Source organism: Homo sapiens, chromosome 2, assembly GCF_000001405.40.
Source record: "Homo sapiens chromosome 2, GRCh38.p14 Primary Assembly".
Taxonomy (NCBI): Eukaryota; Metazoa; Chordata; class Mammalia; order Primates; family Hominidae; genus Homo; species Homo sapiens.
Window position 1 is genome coordinate 6905768 of NC_000002.12, and position 12952 is coordinate 6918719.

A 12952-nucleotide genomic window follows, 5' to 3' on the forward strand; every position below is an offset into this window, starting at 1 on the left:
GGATATTTGAAAACAGAGTAAAACAAAATGAAGAAAATTAAAATTACCCATAATTGTATCACATAGAGGTAACTGGTAATTTAGCTCACATCTGTCCAGTCATATATATTGCTTAATAGAATTGCATTCTTACTCAATACTTTTATTTTTCACATTATATCTTCTGAAGCTTTTTAAAGTTAATTAGCATTTTGTACTTTAATGAGAACAGCCAGTTCTTAACAATTCACACTAATAGATGAGAAAACATTCAATGGCATTAAAAAGTCAGAGCTCATTTGAAAAAAAACCCACTGGATTTGTTTTTGAGTTGTTTACATATTTGTTTATGGATGTAAGTGGTATCCTATTAATTTTAGTAATATTCTCTCTCTACACACACACACACACACACACACACACACACACACACACACACACACACACACAAAGCTCTGTGAAAGTTCATTCTTGGGGAATCTGGAAAACTGCCCAAACATTGTTTACTTTTTTCATTCAGGGCCACCTCAACTTGTTCCTAAACCCCTCTCAGCAACACATCTGAATAGACTGACCTTTGTCAGTTCTCTTCCTGGGTTATATTCAGCTTTATCTTTTATGTTTTCTGACATCTATTTGTGGGGATAACCAGAAAACCTGTGTATATGTGTAGTTGGTGGTATCTACTTTTGTGAAGAATACCTCATTTTTCATTAAATCATAACTCAGATATCACTTTTTCCTGGAAGCCTAGTAGACAGCAGGCATTTGAATGCTGGTTGAGTCAAACTGACCTGAATTAGTCAGCTCAGGCTGCCATAAAAACATACCGTATACCATGTGGCAGAAACAATACACATATATTTCTCTGGAGGCTGGAAGTCCAAGATCAAGGTGCCAACTGGTTAAGTTCCTGGTCAGGCTTCTTTCCCTGGCTTGCAGATGGCTGCCTTGTCCCTGTGTTCTCACATGGAGGAGACAGGGATCTCTCTCCTCTTAAAAGGCCACCATCATTTTGCATAAGGACTTCATTTGAACTTAACTACCTGCTAAAGACCCTGTGTCCAGATATAGTCACACAGGGGATCAGAGCTTTGACATGTGAGTTTTGGAAGGAGACCATTCAGTCCATAGCATGATCCATCATTTAAATGGTAAGATGCAATATACCTAATAGATTTGACCTGACTTTGATGCCATTTAATAGATTTGACTTGACTTTGTCTGATGGCAGTTAATAAAGCCACTTCTATTGAAGTAGGCAGTGCTGTGAGTATTATGACTTGGGGCCCCATGGACGTTTCCAGTCCTTTAAATATTGCCTCCATCCGCTGTGACAGAGCCTGAAATGTCTTCGTTGTGATTAAACTTGCAGTTTCTCCACTGATTTTCTGTAAAACTGAGGGAGTCTGGGGAATTAGCAAACATTAATCTTGTTCTTCAAGTTGTCGTTGGGATGTGTCAGCCCCACCTTTCTCTCAGGTATTGGCCAGGAGAGGGAAAAGCAGGGAACAGAGAGCAAACTTAAGCTATTTCCTACCTATTTGCCTACCACAACCTGGTGATGCCTGGCAAGATCCTTGTAGTTGAAAGATTTAATTCAGGAACAGCTTGGTGCATATCTACTGTGTGGTGAGACCTGTGCCAGACGCTATGGGGAATATCCAAGAAGAAGAGTCAGGCTTTTCATCTTTGAGAAATTTACAAATGTTAGGACAAGAGTTAGACACACGAGAGAGTTAAACAACTGAGTAAGAGAGGCAAAGCAGTGATAGAAAAGGCACCTGCCGTGGGACAGCCTGGCTTGAGCTGCAGTACCGTGTTTGATTAAGGGTGCGATACTTAGGTTCACAAAGGCCCAGTTTCCTCATCAGCAAAATGAGGGATCAATGCAGATTAGTGTAAGGACTTGAGTTAATTATACAAACAGCTCTTGGTGGCCTCTGGTAACTACTAACAGTTACCAATGAGTTCACATCATGTGAAAGCCATCCTTCATAATCTGAGGTAATGCAGGACAAAATAGATAAAAACTCATGGCACAGTTTGAAGTCCTGATAATTGTCATGAGCAAAAAGAGAGGACATTTGGGTTTTGGGGAAGAACACCTTAGAGAACAGGAGGCTTAAGACGGCTGCCCGTTAGTTAACTTACTCATTTAGTATGCACCTATGATGTATCAGCTTTTATAGCAAGTGCTAAAAACACAAAAATGAGCATAAGATTGTTTTGTCGCTAAGGTGCTCAAAGTTTAGTGGAGAAGGCAGTCTTGTAAACGAATAGGTAAAATAAGTGTTGAAGGATGGTAGAAGTAGCAACAAAGTTTTAACACACACACACACACACAAAACATGGAGGACTCTGGTGGTCTTTCATTCTACATCTTAATGGGAATATTGAGATGAGCGCTTCGCCAGAGCTCAGGTCTGAAAAATCCGGTAGAACATAAACTTCTAAAAATGTTCTGACTACTCATCCATAAAAAAAGAATGAATTAACGGCATTTGCAGCAACTTGAATGAGATTGGAGACTATTATTCTAAGTGAAGTAACTCAGGAATGGAAAACCAAAGGTTGTATGTTATCATACTTAAGTGGGAGCTAAGCTATCAGGATGCAAAGGCATAAGAATGACACAGTGGGCCTTGGGGACTCAGTAGGAAAGGGTGGGATGTGGGTGAGGGATAAAAGACTACAAATTGGGTGCAGTGTATACTGCTCGGGTGATGGGTGCCAAAGTTTCACAAATCACCACTACAGAATTTACTCATGTAGCCAAACACCACATGTTCCCCAATAACCTATGGAAACAAAAAACAAAACAAAAAAATGCTCTGCTCTGTTTTGTGAGGGGTCCAATGTCGGCCTTCAAGTGGCCTCAAAAATCAGAAATACAGACATGTGTGAAGCAACTTGATATAAGACAGCACAGGGTGGTGGGAGCCAGGGTGAGCTAGAGAACATACTCCTCTTAGAGGTGTTCAAGTTTTATAAAACATGACACTCCCCAAATGAAATACCCCTGAAGATCTGACTTGTCTTATCAGATGCCTGTTTTCAAATTCAAGTCACAGTGCCACCATGACTATCCCTAATTTATTCAGTGGTATATCAGGCATTAGCTATTCACTGAAAACTGGTAACCTTAATCACTGTTCCTTGAAGGAAATATTTTTACTCCCTGTTGTAAAGACTTTGAATAGTTATTCATACCCCCTTCTGTGAACATGAGAAAATTATACTTTCTCACCCTCTTTCAGTTAAGCAAAGCTACTAATTCCGGCCAATTATGAGTGCATTTAACTGCTAGTACAAGGCTGTACAACATTTGCTTTTGGGTCCACAGTGATTACAGAGGAGGCCTCATGTTGAGATGGCTGAGTCTAAAAACAGGCAACCTTGATCTTGTGTGCTTATTGGGAGGATAGTATTGGAGAGACAAATACGGTCACAGCAAACTGCATATATGGGACAGTTCACATTTTGAGATTACTTGTTACTGTAACACAGATTAGCCCGTCCTAACCAAAATGATCCCATAACAAATAACATTCAGATTGTCTAAGGCTAATGATGGAGATACAATTTCAATAGGGGTTAAGGCATTGGACTTCATAGTCCCATTTCACAATATTGACCAAGATTTACATTCTCCCTGGGGGTGGCTCTACAACTGATGGAATCACAATACTCTCGGTCTTGGGGGAATGCGCCATTGCCTCCTACCACTGGACACACAATTCTTCTCTTAACTTAAACTATATGGTCCTTAAGGGTAGAGCGCATATTTTAGCAGCTAAAAAGTTTTGAGCCCTGAAGTGGGCATGCCAAGTATGGTGTTAAGTGCTTTGCATAATTTTTATTTTAAATGCTCAGAGAAACCATAGAAGAGAAGTGTAATCATCCTTCATTTCATTGCTAAGGAAACTGGAGCTGAGGGAGTCTAACTGAAATGCATAGCTAGATCTTGATGAAACCTAAACTGACTTTGGCAGCAAAGCCCGAGCCAAGCTCAGGCAGAGGGCTTTGTCCTTCTTTCTTCCAAACTGCCTGGGACTCAGCTTCTGGGTTTCTGGGTTTTATTTGTTGTTGTTATTTGCTTGTTTCAATCTGTGAAGCCTGCTCTCCTCTTGATGATTAGAAACTGTGAGTGCATGTCTTCTTTAGAGGAAGTGGCTTGTGGTCTTGCCCTGTGATCCTCTGATAAGAATAGGTTCTCAGAAATACAACCCAATAGACCAAACTTTCACACGAAGATATGAAATGAGAGAAGAAGGAAGGAGAAGACAGACTGATAGAGTTCTTCATACACATGCAAGATGGGGAAAGGAAAAAGAGGAATTTGCATTCTTTCATTGGACTATTACATTCTTTCATGTCTAATGCCAAACATACAAATATGATAATATAATAAGAGAGTAACAAAAGTGGTGTGAGCACAGCTCAGCAGAAAGATTGGCTAACCCAGGGGAGTGACAGAAATGTTACTAGAGGTGTCAGTGGTGCACTGGAGTTTAAAATAGTAGGAGAAGTTTTCCAGGCCGTCAAGGTGTGGGGATTTGATGAGAGTGTTTGCGTTTGTTATTGTTGTTGATGGTGGTGGCGATGTGTGTGTGTGTGTGTGTGTGTGTGTGTGTGTAGAAAGAGAGAGAGAGAGGAGTTTTTAAGTACTGTATGTATTTTAAGGAGATTGAATAATCTAAGGTGAGGAGCATTTAAAATAATAGCAGAATAAAAGTTAAATACTTAGAAACATACAGCAATGAAACAAAATGACCTCTAAAGGGCCTTTTAAGTATGTTTCCATCCAGAAAGGGTCTCTATAGCCCCTATTTTTATTTTTTATTCCCATTATCCCCCAGAACTTTCCATTCTTAGGTGGCATCCAAGATTCTGTCCATTCCTGCTCAAGCCCACCTGCCACCTTTATCCATAACAGATAAACCTCCTGGTCCTACCAAGCCAGACAATCTATTGTCAGGAAAATGTTTTATGATTCTCTTCTTCTGCAATCTTGCTGGAGCTCACTTTCCCCATCTTACTGTCTCAGGTCAGGTTCCCTGGGAAACAGACTCTGAGATGGAGGTTGGTGGTTAAGAGATGCTTAGGAAGGGTTCCTGTAGAAGAATGAGGACACAGGGGAGCTGGGATGCATTTGCTGGGGAACTCTGGGGCTAGGGAGCCCTTCAGTGTTGTCCCAAGGTATGCCAAGCGATTCTCAGAAATACAACCCAATAGACCAAACTTTCACACAAAGATATGAAATGAGACATATGTTATGTCCCAGGCAAGCGGTTTTGGAAGGAGTTTTGCAGGAGGCAGCTACCTTTGGCCAAGATTGATTCCTGGGATGTGAGCCTTCCACAGCCAACAGTCCCAGCTCACGGGATAATGACTGCCTTGGTTCTGTAGGGAATCTTCATGAAGCATTCAAGCATCCACCTTGCGATATATCACCTGAGCCCTGTTCAGTAGGTGGAATAGCAAGTCCTGTTTCTCCCCCATAGCTCTTTATTTTAAACCTCACGTGTTACCATGTGGCAGCATCCACTAGGAATGAGCTGTGGGCACCTGAGTTGTTGCCCAGGACACAGACCTGGATTGTGTACTGTGTTCCCCTTGCACCTATCTGCTACCTGAATTTCTTCCAGGTTCCCATCTTTTCCTAGCTCTTGGCTATCTGCCTCAACTGTGCTCTCATGTCTAAGACTGAATGACTTACTCTGCCTACCTAGTATTGTACTTGGGCTCTCCTTCAAGACTCAAGTACCTGTGAATTACTGCTACTCAAAACCAGTTTACAGTGAATGTGTTAGCTTTAGTTGTTAGTTTAGGCAAGACCATGCTGGCATAACAAATAAACCCTAAAATTTCAATAGCTTAACACATGCAGGTTCATGTTCTCCTGAGGATCATCCTACCAGTGGGCAACCCACAGATCCAGCTGACTCCATTTGGTGGTCCCACCACCTCAATATGTGGCTCTGTTATCACTGGGATGGTGATGGGCAAGTTCAGTGTCATGAAGGTCTTTCTCATTGCCTTGGCTCAAAAGTGAGGCTTATGTCTACAGTCTATGGAACAAAATGAGTCACATGCCCTGGCCTGACTGTGAGGGGGCCAGAAAATCTGGGAAAATGCATGGCTATTTAGTGAGCATTAAATGTTTGCCCACAATGAGGTCTGTCTGCTGTTAAATATAATCATTCTTTGAGACTTGAGAAAGCCTTTAAAAATTCTGTCAAGCCCCAAGGGCCATATTCAATTGATTACTATAGAAAAGCAGTGTAATAAAAAGTTAAAAGACCTCTGAATCAGCCTTCTGTAATATTACCATGTGTGCCTTGAGCAAGCAGGGATCCTGGATCTGGCATGGCCTCGGTAAACCTCAGTGTTCCCATAAGTGAAGTGAAAAGATCAGACAAAACTTTCTCTTGGGTCCTTTTCAGTTCTAAGTAGAATCTACGGAGCTTGCATTTGAGCCATGCATAGAAGATCCGGTTAATAAAGAACCACAGAAGATTCATTTCTTTCATTCAACAAATTTTTATGAAGTGCCTAGAACTTATCTTGCCATTGCTGGATATGATGGCAAACAAGAGAGACGCGTCTCTACTTTCTGGGAGAATGCTAGGAAAAATATCTTTACTTTTTAATTCACATGTTAATATTTTCATTTATTGTCATTTATCTTGCCACCTTTGTATAACACTTTTATTTTTATTATAACCCTTGTTCTCTAAGTTGCAGTCATGAGTAGTCACCTTCCATGCACTTGTATTAGTTTGCTAGGCCTGGTGAAACAAAGTACCACCTTCTGAGTGGCTTAAACCACAGAAATGTATCATCTCACAGTTCTGGAGGTGTATTAGGGTTCCTCAGAGACACAGAATCAATAGGATAGAGATAGATAGATAGATAGACTAGATAGATGATTGATAGATGGATAGATAGATAGATAGATAGGAGATTTATTATGGGAATTGGCTTACATAATTATGGAGGCCAAGAAGTCCCACGATCTGCCGTCTGCAAGCTGGAGACCCTGAAAAGCTGGTGGTGGAATTCAGTCAGAGGCCAAAGGGCGGAGAACCTAGGGGTGGAGTAGGGAGGGGGAAGCACGCTCTCATGTAAGTGCTGGAATCCTGAGGCCCGAGAACCAGGAGCTCTGAAGTCAGGGGGCAGGAGAAGATGGATGTGCCAGCTGGAACAGAAGGAGCATATGTGCCCTTCCTCCTGTTTGTTCGCGCTCTCCAGAGATAGGGTGATGCACGTGGGTGAGGGCAGATCTTCTTTACTCTAAGGATTCAAATGCTGATCTTGTCCAGAAACACTCTGAGAGATGCACACAGACATACTGTCTTACCAGCTATCTGGGCATCCCTTAACCCAGTCAAGCTGCCACTTAACATTAACCATCACAGGGGGCTAGAAGTCTAAGTCAAAGCTTTGGCAAGATTGGTTCCTTTTGAGGGCTGTGAGGAAGAATCTGGTCCAGGCTCCTCCACCAGCTGCCGGTGCTTTGCTGGTCATCTTTGGCATTTCTTGGCTTGTAGAAGCATCACCCAAATCTTTGACTTCAGTTCACATGGTGTTCTCCTTGTGTGTGTCTGTGTCCAAATTTCCCCTTTACATAAGGACACCAGTCATATTGGATTAAAGCCCACTCCAGTATGATCTCCTCTTAACTAATCATATCTGCAATGACCCTATTTCCAAAGAAGGTCACATTCTGGGGTACTGGGGCTTAGAACTTCAGTATACGAATTTTAAGGAGGCACAAGGTGTCCGTGACAGTGCTGTGTTAAGTGACTGGAAGGATGAATTTCCTTTTTCACTTGCACTTTCTTTCTTGAAGTTTTGTTTGAAGCTGCTTGAAGACATCTCTGCATCCTGTCTTATGTGGATGCTACTCCCACTGCAGAGATTATTCGAGAGGTTGGAAAGGTTGGAAAAGAAAGAGAGGATGCTTTTGAAGGGAGAAGGGTAAGAGTACAGACAAGGGAAGCTGTATTAGTCTGTCTGTTCCCACACTGCCAATAGAGACATGCCTGAGACTAGGTAATTTATAAAGAAAAAGAGGTTTAATGGACTCACAGTTCCACATAACTGGGGAGGCCTCACAATCACGGCGGAAGGCAAGGAGGAGCAAAGTCACAGCAGGCAAGAACATTTGCAGGGGAACTCCCCTTTATAAAACCATCAGATCTCATAAAACTTATTCACTGTCACGAGAACGGCACAGGAAAGACCCACCCCCATGATTCAGTTACCTCTCACCTGATCCCTCCCATGACATACGAGAATTATGGGAGCTACAATTCAAGATGAGATTCAGGTGGAGAGACAGCCAGACTGTATCAGAAGCTTTGCCAAGAAGACCCGGAGAGTAGCAGGAACTCTCCTCTGTTCTTTGGCATTACCCTGTGAAGGCTGTGTGGCTCACCTGGGGACTGTGCCTCTGGCAGGAAAGTCTTGTGCTGTCTGCTCCTGAGAGAAGGCATGGCTTCTGGAATGAGATGATCAGTAGCACAGATGGGCTGAAGATGAGACGTTACATTCCACATTCCCAGAACCATAATATCCCCCAGATTCCTCTGTGTCCTTAAGGAGAGAAAGTCAGAATGAGAACTGACATTTGATTTCCTGCTACTCTAGAGAAACAAGAAATGGAATTTGTTAATTTTTAAAATAAAAAAAGTGAATTTTCTATATTTATGGAATGTGTGATTACAAATTCACATAAACTTCCTTGTCTAATTTTTTTTCTTTTCTTTTTCTTTTTCTTTCTTTTTTTTTTTTTTTGAGACTGAGTTTCGCTCTTGTTGCCAGGCTGCAGTGCAGTGGTGCGATCTCGGCTCACCGCAACCTCTGCCTCTGGGGTTCAAGCGATTCTCCTGCCTTAGCCTCCCGAGTAGCTGGGATTATAGGCATGTGCCACCACGCCTGGCTAATTTTGTATTTTTAACAGAGACAGGGGTTTCTCCATGTTGGTCAGGCTGGTCTTGAACTCCCAACCTCAGGTGATCTGCCTGCCTCGGCCTCCCAAAGTGCTGGGATTACAGGCATGAGCCACCACACCCAGCCCCTTGTCTAATTTTTTAAAAAAAATTCAAGTGTGGGTCTTGAGCTTCCCTTGATTTTCTGTCTAGAAGAGAAGTGTCAGAACGGCTATCTGCTTTCCCAGCTTCTGGGCCATTTGCTGCAGCACTGAGTCGCCAGCCTGCTTCGCATGAGCAGGGAAATTTTGCCCATCTAGGTAATCAGGAAGAGCTTGTTCAATGAGTGAAGGGTGAGTCATACTGCATTGGCACAAACTCTTGGCAACAATGAGTGTCCTTTACAATGGGCTCTATGGGACAGCCCTCTGGGGGAGATGGGCCAGCCAGACCTGAGTAAGGGGCTGGACTGAAAACTGACAGTGACAGGTGGAAGTGAACTTGAGAGACCCAACAAACTTCTTGTTGGAGAGAACTAGGACAGCTGCTCAGAGGCAAAGCTCAGAGTAGAGGATTTCACTCAGTATTTATTGAGCACTTATTATGTTCAAGGCCCTAAGAGGGAATATGTAGAAAAATGCTGTTCTCTAGAATCGTAAGATCTAAGCATCAGAAAGTGAATGCCACAAACATTAAGTGTGGCAGATGCCATGATCAACACAGACAAAGACTAAGTATTACACCAGCTCAGAGATCAGAGATCTAGGGATGGGGAACTCCATGATAGGCCGGGAAGTCTTTGCAGGGAAATCTGCATCTGAGTGCCTTTTGAGGCCTGCTGCAAACAAAACTTTCAATGCCAGTGTCCCCTCTCACTATCTCCCCAACAATGGTTGCATTCACAAAGACAGAGCAGGGGAATGAAGTCACATGTATTACCACATGAGCAATTACAAGTCTCAGTTGGGTCAGGGCATTTTTGCACCTTAACTCTCTTCCTGCAGCCCCAGATGCTCCTTTGCAGTCCCCCAGCTTGAGTGTTATACGTCTGTGTTCCATGAGAATGCCTGCATCTTAATACAGACCCCTTTATTGTGGGGAACACAGCACAACGTCTGTGCATTTGCAGTCACCCACCTGTGCATCCCCTGAATCCTTCATTCATAAGTAGTACTCAACCAGGAACTTCTTTGGTATCCCAGCTCGGACACGGGAGGTGTGAATATATTTTTCATAAAGCCCAGGCCTTTATGCAGAACGATTTTCATCCTCTAGTGAGAGGCTGAAGTAACAAAGTGCTGTTGTTAAGATTCTTCCCATTGTGCATTTTTCTTGAATAATGACATTTCTAAAAAGAATCTGAAACTGAGGCATTAGAAGGCAAGTGCTCGTTCATATATTTGAAGAGGTCAAATATTTACCAGAATAACTTCTCAATACAGAGGGGACAGCTTTATTTTATTTTACTATAAAGATGTATGTGTAGCAGAAGACAAATTATGCAGAGCTTTGAGTTAGTTAAGAATCATCTGATTTAATTCTTTGGAGAAATGAGACAAATTGTAGCTAAGGACTATGGAGTTGTTTTAGTTTGCCAGTTATATTTAATTTGACTATTTCTTTATTTATTGAGAGACAAAGTCTCACTCTGCTGCCCAGGCTGGAGTGCAGTGATGCAAACACAGCTCACTTCAGCCTTGACCTCCTGGGCTCAAGCAGTCCTCCTGCCTTGGCCTCCCAAAGTGCTGGGCTTACAGGTGTAAGCCATGGCACTTGGCCTATTTGACTTGTTTAATCCCTCCGAAGAACTCATACATACTATTGCCACCTCATTTTCCACGTAAGAAAATGGAAGCACGAAGACCTTAATAACTTGCTTAATGGCTAGTAGGTGGTAGAGCTTGAATTTAGACCACACAGTGTGGAGGGTATGCTATTAAGGAAAAACGATGTTCTAGTGGGGTTTCCATTTAATATTGCAGAAAAAAGAATCTATATATTTAAGAAGGTGTTATTTCATGCACACTCGTAGGTTTTGTTCATATATGCACATCTGACGTATAATTTAACATTTGTGTAACTTCAAGCTTCTATGGGGAGTGGCAGAAGATGCAGGAATTCTATTAATACCTTCGCAGATCTTAGATTCCAACAAGCTGGATACCTTAAGAAAAATAAAGAAATTGCTGTGCTTGGATCCCAGATGTCCATTCCACCTTTTGGGACCTCCCGGGGGGCCCTCTTTTCTTCATCCTTCAAGACAAGGATAGTGGGGTGAACAGACAGACTTTCCTTGCGAGGGTTGGCTCAGGAAGGCTCTGGGCTCATCTCACAGCCGCCCCAGCGAGGGTCGGGGAGGCAGGTGCTGGCTCCGGTGGGGTCTGCGGCAGAGCAGGACTGGAGCCCAGGGCGCAGCTGCACAGCTCAACGCCGGTTCGCGCCCTGGTTTACAGCGTTGGGCTGGGTCACCCCTTCTTTCCTAGCTTGCTGCTGTGTGTTCCCTCGGTGTAGGAATCAGGGGAGTGTCTTCTGGAGGCCACTAAAGCAGGAATAGCATTTTCATGTTAGCGTGCACGGGCGGTCTCCGCAGCCCCTCCTCGTGCCGGAGCCTGTCCTGGGGCCTGCGGGGCGGCTCCGGGCCTCGGGCCGGCGCAGGCGGGCGGCAGGGGGCGCTGTGCGGCTCGGCGCGGGGGCGGGGCCGGGGCCGAGCCTCCCGCGTGCCCGGCCTCTGTGCGCGCTCGCGCCCCGCCCGCGCAGCCGCTTCTCCCCGCGCGGGCTCTCGGCAGGCGGGAGGCGGCAGGGCTGGCATTGCAGTGCGGGCCGTGCGGGCTGCGCGGGCGCGGGGAGGCGCGGGCGGCAAACTGCGGGCACCCGGCACCCCGCAGCCAGTACCGGGCGGAGGCGTCAGAGCCGCGCACCGCGGACGAGCAGGCCCAGGTAGAGTGACGCGCGTCCCCTTTGTGTCCGCATCGCCCGGGCCGGCCGCGGAGCGGGGAGGGCGGGACGCGGCGCTGCGCGGCCGGCCTTGGGGCTCGGGGCTTGCGGCCGCGCCTGCCCCGCTGGGTCCTGCCCCGGCGCCCGGTGGCAGCGGGCGGGGGGCAGCGTCCCGGGCGGGGACTCGCGGGCTCCGTTCAGAGGACGCCCGCCCTGCCCTGCCCGTGTCCCTGACCTCGTCCCTGCTCTGCTCCTGCCCTGCCCTGCCTCTCGCAGGCGGCGCCCGCGCCCCAGGGCAGTGGGCGCTTAGGGACCTGGCGTCCCCCTGCCTGCCCTGCGCGGTCGCGGGTCTGCGCTGCGGCGCGGGACAGGGCGCCCCGGGCCAGGGTCCCGCGGGCGAGCTGGCGGCGGGGGCTTTCAAGGTTCGCGGCCCCGCCCGCAGACCCTGGGGCTGGAGCCTCGGCCCCAAGAGGAGGTCTGGGAAAGGACGACGCGTCCGGGGCATCGCCACCGGCGGGGAAGGTCGGAACTGGCCAAGAGGATGCCCCGCACATCCCCTGCGCGCGGGGTCCGCGGCTGCTACTGCCCCTGGTCCCCACCGCGAGCCCTTTCCCGGGGAATGAGCCGCCGCCCGAGCCCCGGAGTTCCCTGCGGGTCTTACCCACCCCAGCCTCCGGCCGCCGACCCCAAGCCCCCTGCACTGTGCTTGGCTCCCAGCTGTTTGGTCGCTTATGCCATCCTGGAGGCTTCCTGGTCCTGGGGTGAAGGGGTGACTTCTTTACCCTAATGGTCTTCGTAGGCAGGTCTCAGGATGTCCACTCCAAAGTTCGTGGTCTTTTTTCTAGAGAATAATAATTTTTAAAATCCATTGAACTGGCCGGGCGCGGTGGCTCACGCCTGTAATCCCAGCACTTTGGGAGGCTGAGGCGGGCGGATCACGAGGTCAGGAGATCGAGACCACGGTGAAACCCCCTCTCTACTAAAAATACAAAAAATTAGCCGGGCGCAGTGGCGGGCGCCTGTAGTCCCAGCTACTCGGGAGGCTGAGGCAGGAGAATGGCGTGAACCCGGAAGGCGGAGCTTGCAGTGAGCGGAGATCG

The 12952-nt window shown here is 46.2% G+C and overlaps 1 protein-coding gene and 1 long non-coding RNA gene across 5 annotated transcripts in view, besides 3 other annotated features; one reads left to right on the forward strand and one right to left on the reverse strand.

Moving 5' to 3' along the window:
* Positions 3989 to 4038: an enhancer, noted in NCBI's record as "active region_15246". NCBI's record gives its function as "activates an Ori minimal core promoter by ATAC-STARR-seq in GM12878 lymphoblastoid cells {active_cell/tissue: GM12878}" and the evidence as "EXISTENCE:reporter gene assay evidence [ECO:0000049][PMID:35858748]".
* Positions 4169 to 4298: an enhancer, noted in NCBI's record as "active region_15247". NCBI's record gives its function as "activates an Ori minimal core promoter by ATAC-STARR-seq in GM12878 lymphoblastoid cells {active_cell/tissue: GM12878}" and the evidence as "EXISTENCE:reporter gene assay evidence [ECO:0000049][PMID:35858748]".
* On the reverse strand, positions 6509 to 12915 carry GRASLND (glycosaminoglycan regulatory associated long non-coding RNA). The gene is made up of 5 exons (NR_033997.1): positions 12635 to 12915; positions 11083 to 11457; positions 10056 to 10200; positions 8426 to 8583; positions 6509 to 7897 (listed from the first exon to the last, which is right to left on the reverse strand). It is a non-coding gene; the product is annotated as a glycosaminoglycan regulatory associated long non-coding RNA (long non-coding RNA).
* Positions 11485 to 11974: a silencer, noted in NCBI's record as "silent region_11122". NCBI's record gives its function as "represses an Ori minimal core promoter by ATAC-STARR-seq in GM12878 lymphoblastoid cells {active_cell/tissue: GM12878}" and the evidence as "EXISTENCE:reporter gene assay evidence [ECO:0000049][PMID:35858748]".
* The window catches only part of RNF144A (ring finger protein 144A), a 158956-nt gene continuing 157648 nt past the window's right edge, over positions 11645 to 12952 (forward strand). For all 4 annotated transcript variants that reach the window (NM_001349185.2, NM_001349181.2, NM_014746.6 and 1 more), the window contains exon 1: positions 11645 to 11855. The gene's annotated coding sequence lies outside the window, so the exon portion shown is untranslated. The remainder of the gene's footprint in view (positions 11856 to 12952) is intronic.